The sequence below is a fragment of the Homo sapiens genome, chromosome 10 (assembly GCF_000001405.40).
Source record: "Homo sapiens chromosome 10, GRCh38.p14 Primary Assembly".
In the NCBI taxonomy this organism is placed as follows: domain Eukaryota; kingdom Metazoa; phylum Chordata; class Mammalia; order Primates; family Hominidae; genus Homo; species Homo sapiens.
Genome location: NC_000010.11, coordinates 90,738,237 through 90,756,076, shown reverse-complemented (window position 1 = coordinate 90,756,076; position 17,840 = coordinate 90,738,237). Strand labels below are relative to the sequence as shown.

The window sequence follows — 17,840 nt, the reverse complement described above, 5'->3', positions numbered from 1 at the left end:
ATCATCCATGTTGACAAGCAGTAGTGGGTTCATTCTCATTGTTTTATAGAATTCCATTGCATAAATATGCCACAGTTTATGTACTTATTCTACTATTATAGAGTTATACTAATTTTACTTCTGTAGAGTGGATTAGTTTCATTTGGAGCTATTACCAACAGTGCTGCTATAAACTTTTGTATGTGTATTTTGGTTAATGTTCATTATATACTTGGAATTGCTAGATCATAGAGTGTGTATTATTTAGCTTTAATAGATATTACAAATAGTTTCCCAAAGTTACTGCATCAGTTTACATTCCCACCAGTAATGTGTGAGAATCACAATTGTTTCATATCTTCACAGAACACTTGGCATTATAGTTTTTATCATCATCATCATTAATTTTAACCACTCTGATGGCTGTTAGTGACATTTCATTGTGCTAATCTGCATTTTTGTCATGACTCGTGATGTTAAACACCTTTTGATATGTTTGGTGAAGGTGAGTAATTTTCAAACTTTAGGCCTTGATCCATTAATGGGTTATGAAATCAATTTAGTGAGTTAAGGCCAGCATTTAAAAAGTCTGAAATAGAATAGAAGAGAGTAGATAATGGTTTATAATGGTAAATACAGATTTGTGAAACTTTTGTTTAATTTCCTAAATATAAATATACACACATATCAGTTTATTATATAAAATGTTATATTTCTTTTTGTGAACCATGGTCAAAAAGGTTTTAAAAAACCTTGTTGTGTATTATGCATTTAAGAAAAATCTACAACTTGATTAAAATATAAAGACCACACATATCTCATTTAGCACAGGACTGGGAAATCTAATAGCTGAGATAATGGAAACATGATTCATAATGATTTTGTTAGGCTAAACTGGAAGCAAACTGTTCAGATGAAATATACAGTAAAGTAAAGCCCTTCATGTGGTAAGTATAAAGTCCTTGTAATTGAATGGGAGAAGGCTGCTTTGACAGCAGTGTGGGGGATAAAGACCCAGAACAGTCAATCCTAAACACAAAGTTCTAGGTCTCCAATCCTTGAATGAGAATAGTGGCTTGGGAATCTGCATGTTTCTAAAGCTCCTGAGTGATTCTTATAATCTGGCAGTTTCAGCAGCCACTGACATCAGCCGGAGATTCTAGTGGATTTTGCCAACTGCAAGGGAGGAATCTCCTGGAGGAGGTGTTCTAAGTGTGTGAACGCTTTTTAAGCTGAACGCTCTAAAAAACCACCATATTTCAGAATAATTCTACCTAGTTTCTTTTACTCCCTAAATTATCATTCTATAGCAGTGAAACTCAGAAGAAGCCATTTAATTAAAGAACCATTATCTACCATTTCTATACAGTTAGAATGGAAGACAGGCAGCAGAGTTAATTTACTTCCGATCCCTCTCTATGCAGATTATAACTCCCTAATCCTCTTTTTCTCTGAACCTGTACTTCAATGGCACCCCTATTGTGAGTTGCATATATTCCTCAATTATATAATACTTCAGTGCTTTCGTCTCTGAGATTTACTGTACTTTAACATTCGTATGCATTTTACAGTAAAATTTTGAAGGCTTTATAAGCATCCTGCTTTCTAATTAACAGTGAGGATAAAATGTTAGTGTGATTAAATATTAAACATGCATACTTAAGGAATGTTAAAAATCAGTCTAGTTTTTTTTTTCTTTTTTTCTTTCTCACCCTTGAAGGTAAGATTTATCCTATACAAGGTTTGGAAGAATGAATGTATAATTTAGAGAAACACTTCCCTGAATACCAATATTACTTTATGTAGTAATTATGGGATTTTAAAGGCCAATGAGTTCTTTTTCTTTTGTATAAACTTATGAATGTATTCTAATAAAGTACTTTTGACAAGCTAATCAAATAAAACAATGTAAGATTTAATTATCAGCTTTCTAAAGATTTTATGAACCAGATTGTTTCTATTGCCAGAATCATATAAATTAGGAATCTCAGAATCCTCTTAAATCTTTTATTTTGTTCTTAAAATAGTGTTTTTTTTACATGCTCACTACAAAAATATCAAGCATAGAAAATATAGAGGAAATTTAAAATCATTAAAATTTCTTCATCTCAGGTAAAACTACTATTGATATTTTAGTTGATATTCTTGTAGACATCTGAGCATACACAGACATGCTCACACAAGCATACACCCAGTTTTATATAGAAAGGTTAATAATATATGTTATATGATATTCTATTACTTATCTTTAAGAGCTATGTGTTTTTAATCCACTCTTCTGTTGTTTCTGTGTTAGTAAATACAGACGTACATCATCATTTTTAATGGCTGCATTATACATATTATATACAGTATATATATATATCATATCTAATCTCCTATTGATAATACTTAGATTGCATTCTTTTTCCTCTATTATGTGTTTAGTAACATGTCTGCACATTAGTCATTTTGCATTTGTACAATTATCTTCTTAAGACAAAATCCTAGATGTGTGATAATTGCCAAACTGTCTTCCAAAATTATTTCAGTTGACATTCCCAATAGCAACGTAATAGAATGATTGCTTTTTCAGTTTTCTAATATTGGATTTTGTCTTTCTTAAATATTTGCAAATGATAAAAATGTGTCATTTTAAAATGTGCATCTCTTTATTAATGAAGTTCTGAATATTTTTAAGTGCTTATTGGTCATTAGTTTCTTTCTCTCTCTCTCTCTCTCTCTTTAAAATAGAGATAGGGTCTTGCTATGTTGCTCAGGCTGGTCTGAAACTCCTGGCCTCAAGTGATCCTTCCACCTTGGCCTCCCAAAGTGCTGGGATTATAGGCATGAGCCACTGCGCCTGGCTTTGTCCATTAGTTTTTCTTCTTTGATCAATTGCTTAAATATTTTTATTGGGATGGTTGGCTTTTTGTTTTTTCTTTTACAAACTCTGAAGTTCTTACTATGGGATGGCTGTGTTTTGTATTGACCTGTAGGAAATCTGTGAATATTGTGATATTGCCATTTAGATTTCTAGTTTATGATTTGACTTTTAACTCTTCACAGAATGATTTTTGAATTAAACTAAATGTTGCTTATAAATGTCACTTATTTATTTTGTTTGTTACAAACATTTATTGATGTTTCATTTTGTACTTTCAAGCTTTTGTATTATAGTTAAGAATGGCCTTTGTCATCTCAGAATTGTGGAAATACTTGCCAATATTTTCTTAGGGTTTAATTTTTTTACATGATAATCTTTGATCCATGTGAGATTTATATTTAATCAAACGATAAGAAGCCAGTAATACTTTTACCTCAATTGCTGGCCAGTTGTGAGACTTCAAGAATATCCAATTTTTTACTAGTGATTTAAAGTGACTCCTTTTATATTGAATTCCCTTATATATTTGAATCAATTTGAACCTATCTTGTTTTATTGATATCTTTTTGAATAATTATTTTGGGGCTTTTATTTCTGTGGCTTTATACTTTTTTTTAATGGGATAAGTATCCCTTCATTATTCTTTTTCAGATTATCTGTACATTTTTGCATGTTGACTTGGTGAGCTTTAAAATCGTTAACAAAAGCCATGCCAGTTTATTCATTGGGGGTTATATGGTATTTATAGATTGAGGGGAAATAGGTACTTTTATAATACTAGAATTTCTTATTGAAAAAACAAGTTTTTTCCCCCATGGATTTAAGTATTTTAAAAAATGTACCTCAGTAGCATTTTGTATTTTCTTCATATAGACTGTAGGTATTATTTTTAAAAAGCTTTTTCCTAGGTGTTTTTAGTTGTTGTTAATTGCATCATCTCCACACTATTTTCTGATTGTTAATGGTTAAAACAAAATATTAACTTTTGTTTATTTATTTTATATCCAGACACGTTAGTAAGCACTCATTTTTTTTCTAGTAATATTTCAGTTGATTTTAGCCTTATGATGTCTCACCAGGTGGAAGTGAGGAGCCTAAGAAGTAAATATAACTACCTTATTGTAGGATGTCTTGAAATCATTAGAGAATGGTGCCTAATGTAGAACAGAGTTTATGAAATATAATTTGTACATCCAGGGCAGACTGAATATGGACTAATCATGATTGAAATATAATGTGTCAGCCTAAGTGTACTAGAATGAATAAACATACCATTTAAATGAGATTATCTAAAATTCTGAAATGTTCTTTGTACTCTATTAATCTCTCCGGATTAATCTTTGTGAATTCTGTATTATTTACTTAGCCAGGAAAAAGATGGGATTGTTATTTAAGTGGGAAGGCATAGTTCTAGTAAGGAAAGTGTGAAGAAATGGGAGAGAAAACAGATTTCCTCAAAATAGGAGTTTACTAGGTTGTGAATTCCAGGCATGCTAATTTTTTAAATGCTCCACAAATAAAATACAACCTTTTTTGTCATAATTTTTCCAACATAATACCTGTTACTTCAACCACCTACCCTATTGAAACACCCCCCTTCCCAGTAAGTAGGTGTAAAATGATCTGACAATGCCATCTGGTGGCCTCCTGGGGAATTGTGTAAAGTAACCTCTACCTGCTGGACTTCACTCCTTGGTGAACCTGAGGCACCATCCTGGGCTCATGTCTTGGATGCCACATTGAGGCTTGAGAGCAGGCATTTATGCTGGGGCTGTAGACAAAGAAAGACGAGAAATCAAAATCCATGTCTGGGAAAGGCTGCTGGGGAAATAAGGAAGGTGCCCAAAAGGCCACATTCACAGGAGCTGGTTGAGAACAAGGACTAGATTTTTCTTTTCCCTCCCTCTTCCCTTTTCCCTCTTCCTTACTCCTTCACTCCCTCTCTTCTTCTGAGTTACTTTCCCCCGCACTGCCCGCCTTTTTCTTAGCTCTTATTCTTGCATTCTCAGGAAAGCCTCCCTCTTTCTCTTCCCTCATTCTGTTTGGGAGCCACATCATAATCCTAACTACAGCTGATAAATCTAAGGGTAGTGCTTGTAGGTCAGCTTTATTAAGGAAAAGGGGAGGCGGAAGTTTGCAAATGAAGAACCAGCGTCATGAACGCCTGGCTCCTTGGAAGGGATCAGAAGTTCCCTTCAACATTACCATGGCCTCAGGTTTTCCCCTTCATCTGACATGATTTCCCCATTTGCCTGCACGCAGGATTTTCGTCTCTTCTACTCACTGTCCTATCCCCAACACCTGGAACAGAACCTGTCCAGTAAAATGAGCTCCATTAATACTTATTGAAGGAAAGAATTCTAGAGAAGTAAGAACATCTGGCTCATTATTTTTTACTATATTTCAGTGTTGTCTTCCTGTAAGTGTTATAGTGATGCTAATTTTCATTGTGAAAGTATGATTTTGGACTTTTGTGGGATAATTTAAGTATTAAAGGATATTTCTAGCAGAAATTGTTTTTTGAGTTCTAACCTACTAACTGACTAACTTTCAGAAAATAACCTGTTGGTAAGTTAGGGACTCTCTGTATCTTTCCTTTTTATGTTTCAAGAATGTATCTTTTATACACATAAAGGAAGTAAAAACAACAACAAAATGACCAGTTTTTTTTCTGTCTTTGCTTCTCAAGTGCTCCTAGCTTTCCAAAAAAGACTCTACGACTATTAAATATGAGGAAAACACAGGTTTGAAAAGCTGAAAAATATTAAGCATTTGGCAGAACATCTTTTCTGTATATGTTTTCTCTGTGTGCACAGACTTGTTTGCATTACAAATCCTTGATCACAGACTTGGAGTAATATTTATTCCCTCTATAGAACTAAGCACAGAGAAAATGTTGGATTTCCCTAACATTTTTCAGAATTGCACCCTTGTTTTGTGATTCTCCTAAGAACTGGAGAGAGAAGTCAGGCTGCTTTTATTTCTTAGATTGTTCCTCTGACATTGCTGTTGTGTGAGAATTTTCTGTGGGCAAAATAATAACAATAATAATGATAATAATAATGATCATTTTTTGCTAACCATTTCAACACTCTAGGATTCCCAAATTATCTCACGAATCTGTGTGATCTTAAAGAAATGCTTTTGCTGTAATGCAAAGGGAAAGCTAAAATGAATTAAAAGCTGGCCTAAATTAAGACAGCTGGGGTGATCACTGGGTGTATAATACCAGAGTGTGGTAGACCTTGGTTAAGTTTTGAGAATGTGTCACAACATCCTACATCAGAGTTGATATGTTGTCCTGGTTGATTTTGGTGGCTGTGGTCATGGGGACGGAGAGCTTTTTAAACTTTGTTGACTTCGTGGATTGTGAAAAACTATAAGGCATGCACAAAGCATGGACTGACTTTAGAGTCAGAGGGCTCTCAGGCTACAATCTGGCAATGCCTCTGTGTGACCCGGAATAAAATAGGTAACATCTCAGAGCCTTAGTTTACCTTTCTGCAAAATGGGAGTAATGATGCCTACCTAGAAGGGCTGTTGCGAGGACTGGCGCTGGTACCTGGCTGGCAGGACTTGCTTGGTTGACCAGTTATGATCACGGTGTTCATCTGTTATCTTTCCATCTCTCCACTAGGTACCTTGGGATCACAAGGCCCCTCACATACCCTGTGAGGCAGAATGGGAAATGCATGGCGAAGATGATTCTCTCCGTCTGGCTTCTCTCCGCCTCCATCACCTTACCTCCACTCTTTGGATGGGCTCAGAATGTAAATGATGATAAGGTGTGCTTGATCAGCCAGGACTTTGGCTATACGATTTACTCTACCGCAGTGGCATTTTATATCCCCATGTCCGTCATGCTTTTCATGTACTACCAGATTTACAAGGCTGCCAGGAAGAGTGCTGCCAAACACAAGTTTCCTGGCTTCCCTCGAGTGGAGCCAGACAGCGTCATCGCCCTGAATGGCATAGTGAAGCTCCAGAAGGAGGTGGAAGAGTGTGCAAACCTTTCGAGACTCCTCAAGCATGAAAGGAAAAACATCTCCATCTTTAAGCGAGAACAGAAAGCAGCCACCACCCTGGGGATCATCGTCGGGGCCTTTACCGTGTGCTGGCTGCCATTTTTCCTCCTCTCGACAGCCAGACCCTTCATCTGTGGCACTTCCTGCAGCTGCATCCCACTGTGGGTGGAGAGGACATTTCTGTGGCTAGGCTATGCAAACTCTCTCATTAACCCTTTTATATATGCCTTCTTCAACCGGGACCTGAGGACCACCTATCGCAGCCTGCTCCAGTGCCAGTACCGGAATATCAACCGGAAGCTCTCAGCTGCAGGCATGCATGAAGCCCTGAAGCTTGCTGAGAGGCCAGAGAGACCTGAGTTTGTGCTGTAAGGTCATTTATCACTATTTTCCTTTTATCCCCCAAACCCTTTTATGCAGCTTTTTGAGGCACATCACAGAAAGCTTCCTGAACGAGTAGCTAGCTTAGTTTTTACTAAACATACCAGATTTGAATTGACAACAGTATAGACTCCAGTCTTCCACCCAGTAAAATTCCAAAAGCCAAAAATAGGTACTTAGTTGGATTGGTAGATGAGACTAATTTGCTGATGAATTGCAATTGATGTGATTGACAACAAGGCAGGTGATATTTTCCCTTCTTTCTCCATAAATGACATCCAAATGATATCCTTACATCTGAATTTGTGTAACATTATTATTTTAGTTGTTATTATTCTTCTGTCCAGTAAAGCTTTTTTGATAACCTCATCCTTCACAGATAAATTCTTCTTTTGAGGTAGGAGGCACAATGATCTTTTTAGTATGCAGTTACATTCACCTGGGCTGAAAGGAGGCAGCCCAGGAAAAAGAAGAGTTGTTAGTGTGGGGAGATGCCAGGATGAGGCAAGGTCTTAAAAGCTACAAGAGCCGGACATGGTGGAGCGCCTCTGTAATCCTAGCCACTTGGGAGGCTGAGGCAGGAGGATAGCTTGAGCCCAGGGGTTGGATTATGCAGTGAGCTATGATCATGCCACTCCAACCTGGTTGACAGAGCAAGACTCGCCTCTAAAAAATAAAAGAAAAAGAGCCACAGGAGCTTTTAGGAAATGTTCCTGCCCATCTTGGCAGGTGAGAACCAAGAATTGGTCTAAGAAGTCTTAGTGACTTTCAAGGAAGCAATTACAATAGGTTCTTGGGATCTGAAAAAGGATCTGATGGTGATAGAGAAATGGAAATTTCAGAAGTGACCCACATGTTAAAAATTTGGCATTGTAAAGAAGGAAAGAGATAGTATACTAGTTAGAGGTGTCAACATGTCTGATGAAGACTTTGTTTTAAATGTGAGGTAGAGGAGATTTCTTCACGTTTGAAAGTCAGGGGAAAAATAAACTTGGAATGAAAAATTGGAAGGTTCTGGTGAGAGAATGAGCAGATTAGTGTTGGAGGTGTCGTTCTTCACTGAGCCTGGCAGGGAGGAGTAGACTAGAGAACCAGGGACCACTCTAGCAGAGAGGGACCTTCCTGGTCATCTTGTCCACCCCTGTCTTTCAACAGAAGAGCTAACTGGGAGTTGAAAAGTGAGATGTCTCACACTTAGCTAGTGTCACAACTAAGTCTAGATTCCACATCATCTGAATCCCAGTGCTACTCATTTTTCTTATACTGGACTGCCTTTATCTTACAACTGAAAGTTGGAAGACTACAGCTATGCTAATTCTTAAGCTGAGTGTAGCTTCACAGGCATTCATGTTTACTTCTATATACTCTTTTGTACACGAGATTGTTCACAATATAAAAAGTAGCATTAAAAAATGTAATTTTAAGTTCTAGAACATGTACTGTAAGCAAACCCAGAGATCTTACTATGCCTATAAGAGTTCGTTGAACTGACCATTAGGATTTTGAATTCCTTCAGAGAAGGAACAATGTCTTAATCAGATTTCTTTCTGCAGAATCTAGTACAGTGCTTGACACATAATAGATGATAAATAAAAGTAATAACTGCTAACCATTATTGAACACCCGCTACATGCTATGCAGCATGCTACCTGCAAAATAGGTGCTTCTAGCATCCCCACTTTTCAGAAGAACAACTTAAGGCTCAGGAACAAAAGTAACTGACCTATGTTCACACAGTCCCTAAGTGGTAGCTGTGATATGAATCACCCCGATGCTTGTATTGAATGTTATGCAGTTATACTTGTCAAGTGACTTCAGTATATAGGCAGTGAAGAGTCTCAGAATATTTTTGAGCTGGAGACTAGCCATAAGCTCTCTAAGAAGACAATGAGAATGAATTGTTACTCTAAGTAAGTAAAGTTTATTAGACTTACTGCACTACGAGTGGTATCCACTCCTAGACAGTCTTAGTAGTTTCTCAGATGAAGGAAATAAGGCAAGGATATTGATAGGGTTTTGGGGCTTGGGCTGGGTGATTTGAAGGTAGGGAACTGGTGAGGATTAGGCAGAGTTTATGACATAATAGCTTTAGACTGGTAAGTACAGCTAGATGAGGGCTGTGAAGTGAGTGTTAATGAGCAAACTAGTCTTGATAAGTAGGCTATTTTTGTTGGCATATAGTCTTCTGAAAGTGACTATTTCCTAGAACAAATAGCTAGGTTATTTTGCCTGGCTGCAGCATTTTTTAGCACAGGAAAAGGAAAGCGTGTTGGTTTTAGTTCTCAGGAGTAACATGGGAAGGTCTCTCTGGCAATAGTGAGGAGGGCAGACAAGGGAAAGATGGGTGGCAGGGGATCCAGTTAAGCAGCCAGTGTATAAAGTAGGAAAGAACAGATAAAGTCATGAGCAAGGAAACACTGCTATATTTGCATGCATCCATAGGGTCAAAAAACTTGAGAATCATTTTATTGATTATTTTAGTTAATGATTCATAGATAATTCAGATAGATCATAAAATGGTAATCTTTAAAATGTAGCACAAAAAGGTTTTCCAGTTTAAAATAATAACATGCGTTTGCTGAGGATTCACTCTCAGACACTTTGCTGAGCACTTTATGTGAATTTGATCAATTAATCCTCAAAAGTTTATGATAGGTTAGTTTTCTTCATTTCCATTCTGAAAATAACAAAACAAGGGCGTGGAGAAGTCAAATGATTTCCCCCACAGTCATATAGAGAGTGATAGAGCTGGATTTGAGCCCAGGACATCTGTGTTCAAAAGTGCTTTTAACTTCTATGCTACTGTGCCTTTTATAAAAATAAATCAGCTAACATAAAGTCTAAAGATATTTGCCTTTGTATCTTTAGCTAGTCTGGAGGCTTGGGTGTTGTTTTCCTGTAAGCTTAAGACAGAGGTCAGCAAACTTTAACTGTGAAGGGCCAAGTGGTAAATATTTTAAGCTTTGCTAGCCATATGGTCTCTATTGAAACTACTCATCTCACTGATGAGTAATTTGTCACTGACATAAGTAAACAGATAGGCCCGTGTACCAATAAAACTTTATTTACAAAAAGGGGCTGCCAGTTGTATTTGGCCAACAGGCCATAGTCTGCTGTATCTTCTTTGCATTTCTCTCAGTTTGAATTTATAATTACAGAATATCTACTTCATTAAGGACGATTAGCCTAAAAATATCCATCAACTTTAGGAAATTTCTAATATGGCTGCCATGCATTGAGGAAGATACAGAAAACAGATGATATCTTTCATGTCCTTATGCACATAATTTTGTTGGATATACCTTACACAAACAGACATATGTTGCTATGGCCTGAATGTTTGTGTCTCCTGCAAAATTCATATTTTGAAACCAAATTCCCAATGCAATACTATGAAAATGTGGATTCTTTAGGAGGTAATTAGGTCATGGGGGCAGGGCCCTCATGAATGGGATTATTGCCCTTATAAAAGAGGCCTGAGGGAGCTTGTTCATACCTTCTACCATGTAAGGAAGCAGCTAGAAGTTACCATCTATGAAGCAGACAGCGAGCCCTCACCAGACATGGAATCTATTGGTGGCTTAATCTTGGATTTCTCAGCCTCTCAAACTATAAGAAATAAATTTCTGTTGTTTATAAGCTACCAATTTATGGGATTTTGTTATAGCAGCCTGGCTAGGCTAAGACATATGCACATGGCAACCTTTCTGTAATAAGGAAAGGTGGAGACAGGAAAAACTATGGGATTCAAAGGAAAGGAAAATAACTCAGAGCTTACACTAACCCTAATCAGAGAAGACTTCCTGAAGGATATGAACTCAAGCATGTCTATGAAGTTGGTCAAAGCATTTATAGTGAAAGGAGAGCAGAAATGGTATTCTAGGTGAAGAGGACTTTTTTTGTAAAGGCACCAATGTGGGAGCTTATACAAAGGACCATCTGGCTGAAGCTAAGCATTTGGGTGCAGGAACTGTTAGAGATCAAAGCAGAAAAGTAGATTGAGATGAAATTATAAAGGCTCTTCTATGCTAGCTCCAAGAATTTGGACTTTTAATATTGACAAATGGTTCTTAATCAGGAGTAATTTTGCCTCCCATCCCAACTCTCTGTAGCCATTTGGCCATTTCTGGAGGGATTTTTGGTTGTCACAAGTCTGGGTGGCACACTACTGGCATCTACTGGGTAGAGGCCAGGGCTGCTCTTAAGGATTTTACAGTATACAGGCCAGCAACCCCCCGCCCACCCCCCAACAAAGAAGTACCTAATCCTTAATGCTAAATGTGGGACACTCTGTAGTAGTAAGCCATCAGTGAATCTGCAAGTAGGATCAGTGAATCTGCAAGTAGGGGAATGGAGTCATCAAAATGGTCAAGACTGATGCAGTAGCACTGTGTGGATAACTCCAAATGTAGAAAATGGATGTAAGGAGTCTCTTCATTGGCTTGTTTTTCCCAGAAACATTTGAGGGTCTGCTATGTACAAAGCATGGAACCAGGCATGGTAGGGTAGAAAGATGAGTAAGGGACAGTTGAAGTCTCTGGAAGCTTTTAATCTAGTGTGCTGGGGTGGCTGCAGAGGTGGTGGTGGCTAGTAGGAGACTTGTAATCAGAACCCTTTGCTCCCCCTGCCTCTCTCTAGCTCTCACTCATCTTGTGGCCACCGTGCAGATTCTGGACTCCTCCAGACTCAGGGCTTTCTCCAGCTCTTTTCCTCCCATCTAGCTTCTGGGCTTCTAGTCTCTCTTACCTTTTCGCCTTGCTCTGCCTTCTTGGCTCTACGTATTCTCCTACATAATAGTTTCTTTCTTTCCTGTACAAACCTGTAAGACTGTTCCTACTCCCAAATATTTACCCATTTCTCCCCATTTTCTTGATCAGCATAACCAGAACCTCAGGAGTTCATCAGGCACTCGAAAATTTTCCCTGGGGTAATGAAGTGAATAGATGGAGGAAAAGCTGTGAATACTTTTGCACTGGTAATTTTAATTTACTGCTATCAATTTTAATCCTTTTCACAAGTATTCACAGATTGGTAATATAAAACCAAATATGATAATGAAATATAATCAAGGATTCTTTTTTTCTTTTAAAATTTGATTTACTTATGGATTTGCTTTGAATTGCCATAAATTGCAGGAGGGCCTGCACAAGGAGGGTGCTGTTGAGACCAGAAAAGAGGCCACCGGTATCTGTGTGGGTGCTACAATCTCCAGACCATCACAATTGGTTAGCAGGTGGGTAGCAAGGAAAGGGAGACTTTGGAGATAGTGCTGTGGTCTGGAGGAATTCAGAACATGAACTATGTGAGCAGAGCCGTGCTGAGCTGGAGAAAGCACTGTCTCTCCTGTGCTGGGAAGAGACAGTGGCCCTGGGCTAGGAATGTGTCTGTGGAGCACAGATGGTTGCCAGTCCCCTCTTCAGATACGTGGAGCCTAGAGTGCTGAGTCTGGGCTGAAGTGCAGTACTTGTCCTCAGGTGTTATTGTGTGAGGCTGAGGGGAAAAGCTAGAAACCATGTCTCCAGCAAAATCCATCTATTGATCACCCATCTGAAGGGCTGGGCTGAGAGGGGGACCTCAAAGAAGGAAGAGCAGGACTGCAGGCAAGACAGCCAAATGGCAGGGTAGGGGGTGCTTTAGATGGGGTGGGTAGGTGGAGATTAGGGGCACAGTCCCAGTCTCTGGGTCCTCATAGACCTAGCTCTTAGGCACATGATGTAGTGTGGTAAGTTGAGGCCTGTGGAGGTGCAGAGTCAGGGGAGTGGCTTTACACCAGGAGAAAGGGACTTTTTCTCAGCCCTTGGCTGACACTTCTCTATCACTAATGCCACTTCTGAGCATCTAGGAACGAGGGAGAGAAGTGAAGTTTCTTGGTCCCTACACACATACCTTACAATAACACACCTTCCTAGGTTTGAGGGAGAGAGCACGTCTCATTGGTAATCATTATTTAGTCATTATTCTTTTCAAGTGGGGCAGGTGCAATAGTATTTTGCAAGGATTTTTGAGAGCAAAGTCATTTTTTGCTATAGCTGTATTAAAAAGGTGAATTTCTAAATGGGTTATTTGGGGCTGATTTGCAAATATATTAAAGCCTTGGCAACTTGTGGAAGTTATGAAATTTATGAAAAGAGTCACAACACTTTTTCTTTCCCTTGAAGGATACTCATAATCCCTTAAAAGCCACAAATGATTCAAATTACTGACTGCTGTAAAAATTAAGTCCACCTACCACAAAATGAAAACTCACATTTACAGTTCTACTAAATTATTTTCTATTTTTCTCTCTCTTTTTTTTAGACAAAATGCTGACTACTGTAGAAAAAAAGGTCATGATTCATGATTGAAAGCAGAACAATGGAGATGAAATAAACAAGGCAAAATAGAGGTGGAAACAGAAGGAAGTCATTTGCTGAGTCTGCAGAATGGAATGCAGCTTCTGTCCTTTCTTGGGATGTCTAAAACATGACAAACAGGGTGATCTGTTGTACACACTATCTTATGAGGGAGATGGTGACTTCTCCTTTTTTCTGTGGATCAGTGCTATTGTGTGTTCTCAGTTTAAGATAGCAGATCATCTCAGCAGTAAGCACACCAACAGAACTGAGTTCCAGAAAGGAAGCAGTTTCTGGTGCTTTGCATATGTCCAAATCCATGCAAGTGGGAGAAAGTTCCAGTGCACACTTCCCATGCTTCTGAGTCTAGGCGTTGTGGTGAATATGCAGGAATCATTCATGAGACAGAATGTATTTTGTTGTATGACAGAAGGCTTTTCCAAGCAAACTGCGGTGAGCGTAGTGTTGAATATGTTGCATGTCCATGTTAGAAAACAGAATCCAGTCATCAGCTAATACAAATGATTTCCCAGAGCAGTGTTTGTTTCAAGCTTCTGTCAAATAGTTTGGCTTTTCTGCAGGGTCTCTGTGATTTCCCCACCTATGTACTTTTCTGTGTTAACTCACTTATTATGGTATAACTCAGGAACAGGTCTCAGGATGGAGAGAAGCATACAACATGAGCAAAGCTTTTTCTCGTGCTCTGAAGGGTCTTGAGAGGGGAGTGGGATGCCTTCTGTGAGGATTTTTATCGCAGTGAAGCTCAAGTGGTACCCAACTGCGTTGTAATTAACATGATTATTGGCATGTTTTTGACTCTCATTTTCTACAAGGCTGCAGTGGGCCCACCCATGGGCTGGCCCATAACTGTATGTTATGTGGAAGAAGTGTGGGAATGATGGGTTTTCCATGAAATGTGATGCTTCTGGAGATGGGGCATAAACATGTTCATTCTTGTTGAGCTGCATTGTGTTAAACCAAATTGTGTGAAGCGAGGTCACCTGGACCACTCTTGGGAAATGCTTCAGAACACCAGTCTGTTCCTTCTAGAGAATTTGTTTTTGTGTTCTATGTATCTTAAATCAAATGTGTGCCTAAGCAATTCTGTCCTCTGATTCCCACCCCTACCCACCAAAAAATGGTAGACATGAAAGGCAGGTGAGGAAACAGAAAAGGTCTCTTTGCAGATATATATTTTTTAAATGGCACTATGTAGTAATTAAGAGCTAAGGAGACAGAAAGACAGTAGATGAGAATAGAAGAGTACCTGTACCTACAAGGGGAAAAATGAATGCAATTCTTTATTTGATAAGAGTGAACTGAAAGAGAATATTATTTTCCTACAATAAAGCAAGCTGTCCTCTCACAGGATAAAGTGGAATTCTGACATGGATTATGGACTTCTTCTAACTCCCATTGACATTGCTTCTTACCAGACATGGGGAAAAGCTACCTTTCCTGAAAGGGGAGGAGGGCACTGTCCTTTCAGACAAAGCTTGTACAAATTCCTGAACCGCAAATTTGCTGAAGTGACCGTATATATTATATTCATAATTTAAATGATTATTTATGGTCAGATACATATTGTTAAACTTGAAAATGTTTTATTACATTACATCAAATAAAGTTTATTTGTAGCTGAAATAAAGCAACGTAAGTAACAATTTTTAATTAAAGGTCTTATGTCATACATGTTGCTGTCTGTAGAATGGCTGAAGGGCAGACATTTTACGTGTTTGCTAAAATCCTAACAGGTAGCTAAGACAGCTCTGGTTTCAATTCCATTTCACTGTGGATTCATTCACTTAGTGACTTTATTTTTATAAAACAATGACTGTTCATTACTTGATCTGATTAATGAGCATTGTTTGGGCTCCTGGCACATTAGCATTGCTGGCATCAAGGGGACAAAGATGGGTATGGCACAGTCCTTGCTTTTAAGAGTTTGCCATCAGGTAGAAGGCAAACATGTCTCGATTTGTCACAATATAGTATAGTAAGTGCTGTAACAGGTTTTAGGGAGTGACTTTTTCTTTCCTGTAGTGTAAGACAGGGCACTATGGTTAGTTGGATTGATTCAGGTTTTCAAATGTGTTGTTTAATTTTTTATTAAGACCTTCATGATTCATATTGGCTCCTTATCCTGCCTGACTTGAATGCCCGACTATTGACCTCTCTGCTTCATTCTGGCTATAGAGGCTGAGCTTCATGTGTAGACTGTACTTTAAATATACAGCAGCAAATAAAAGGAAAAGGTAGAAATCGAAAGGGGATGAGAAAAATAAATCATTAATACAGTTTCACATATGACATAATTTGTGCCAAAGACACAGCTTTTGTTTTAACTAAGAATTGGGAAAATCATTGAAATGAACATTTTATATATAATGACTGTTCAAGCAAGAAGGACTATTCCTCTTCTCACTCTATGGTATCAGCTGTCATTTTCTGGCAAGGCTGAGTACTGGGAAACCATGCTTGAGAAGTAAAGCACTTACTTGTAAGAGATAACTGAATCACTGTTGCCTTAGCTTTTAGTTTTATTCTGTAAATATTAAACAGGAGACACTCAGAGTTCCTCGATTTTCTAGCAACTGTTTCATAACTGAAAGCATTGATTATGTTGTCATGGACTTGATATGCTTGTGCATGTATTTGATGATCATATTTTCATATAGTTTTATTAGGTTCATTGATTGCAGGCAGTGGGTCAAAAATATGAATGGAAAATGCAGGTAATTTTTTCAAATAGTTTATGCTAATATAATAATTGAATTACCATCTGGAGATAGTGGGAATTTCCCTTTCAGCATTTTCATTGTCAATTTAGTTTTCAATTTAATGGCTATAAATGTTGCTAAATACTGGAGTCTTGAAAAATTGTTCATGCTCCTTCTGATCTCAGGACCTTCACACATGCTTTCCCTCTTGGTTTGTGATATTCCTCCTGATCTCATTTATTTGATGTATGCCTTCATTATCATCCAGTAAATCTTCAAGGGTAGGGGCCATGTCTGTTTTTCTCAACAATATGCCCATTACCTAGCACCATGCTGGGAACATATATATGGTAGGCCAACAATGGGTATGTTTTAATGAGAAGGAGGGAGGGAAGGAGAGAGAGGCAAGAGTTCACTGGCACTTTTTAAAAATGTTTATATGAGGAAACAAAGAAGACTTGCTGTGATCCAGCGACATGCCCAGTGAGTGGAAGAGAAGAAACTGGAATTAAGCTATTCTGTGTGCCACTTAGGTCAGGCCCTCCACTACATGGTCCTGCTTCTCTTGCATGAGTTAGCTACTCATATCATGAGAGCATCCCTTTCTTAATTTTCTGCGCTAGTGGAGCAGAGCCATGTATGTGCTATGGCCCATATGTTGAAACTTGTTTATCTACAGCTAGCCAGATGGTCTGTAACAGCACACAAAGAAGCCATTTGGAAACTTTCAGAGGGTCAGCACGTTTTGAAAACAACTCAGAGTAATGCATATTGTGATGTCATTGCTTACTTTAAGCTTACAGTGAGGAATATCTTGTTAGGTACTGAATGTGAAACATGCAGACTTTGAGAACCAACTCAGAGGTCCTAGCCCCCAGAGACAGAAATTTATTTAATTGGATCACCCTTTAGACTTGTTTTGTCTACATGTTCTCTGAAAAAGGAATATAATGTCTTAATTTAAAATACTTTGTTTTTTAAGTTGCTGCTGGGTTAAATACATTTTTTTTTAAAGAAAACCTGCTTATGCAGTACATGTTAACAGATATGATGTGGTCATCAATAAAAATGTAAAATAAAATTTACTGTGGCTGATATGAAACAAAGTGAGAGAGGGTGACAAGTATCAGAAGTAGATTTGCAGCTAACAGTCTGTTTAGTCTTTGGTACATTAAAAAAGCCAAGATGAAAGAATTATACCTGTACTAGTGGAGGGGGAAAATGGTAATCTAAAATAGCAGATGATAAGAAATATCTGGAATTTATCTTTGATGTGGTATTAGGTAATATTTTTGGTACCAAATTACCTTTTTCTAATTACATTTTGATTGGGCTATTATTAAAATGCTCTTTATTCTTTAAACCCACACAATCTCACAGTAGGAGAAGTGGTTCAAAGCTATGATGAGAGGCAGCAGAAAGTCGGCTGTACATATAAAAGTTTGTTATGCATAATTCACAAAGTACATGAATCAGTTGTAGGAAAAATGAGCTATAACCATATCCACAGACAATCACAGAGCTGGAGAATCTTATG

General features: G+C 38.0%; 1 protein-coding gene across 4 annotated transcripts in view; it reads left to right on the top strand.

The window, feature by feature from the left end:
• The window catches only part of HTR7 (5-hydroxytryptamine receptor 7), a 117,217-nt gene extending 101,963 nt beyond the window's left edge, over positions 1-15,254 (top strand). For 2 of the 4 annotated variants that reach the window (NM_019859.4, XM_024447973.2), the window contains exons 2-4: positions 6,483-7,238; positions 12,387-12,484; positions 13,549-15,254. In NM_019859.4, the coding sequence (NP_062873.1) occupies positions 6,483-7,238; positions 12,387-12,484; positions 13,549-13,595 (901 nt within the window). In that variant the 3' untranslated portion in view covers positions 13,596-15,254. Of the gene's footprint in view, positions 1-6,482; positions 7,244-12,386; positions 12,485-13,548 lie in introns of all 4 variants that reach the window. The other 2 variants (NM_000872.5, NM_019860.4) reach the window with 2 other exon arrangements.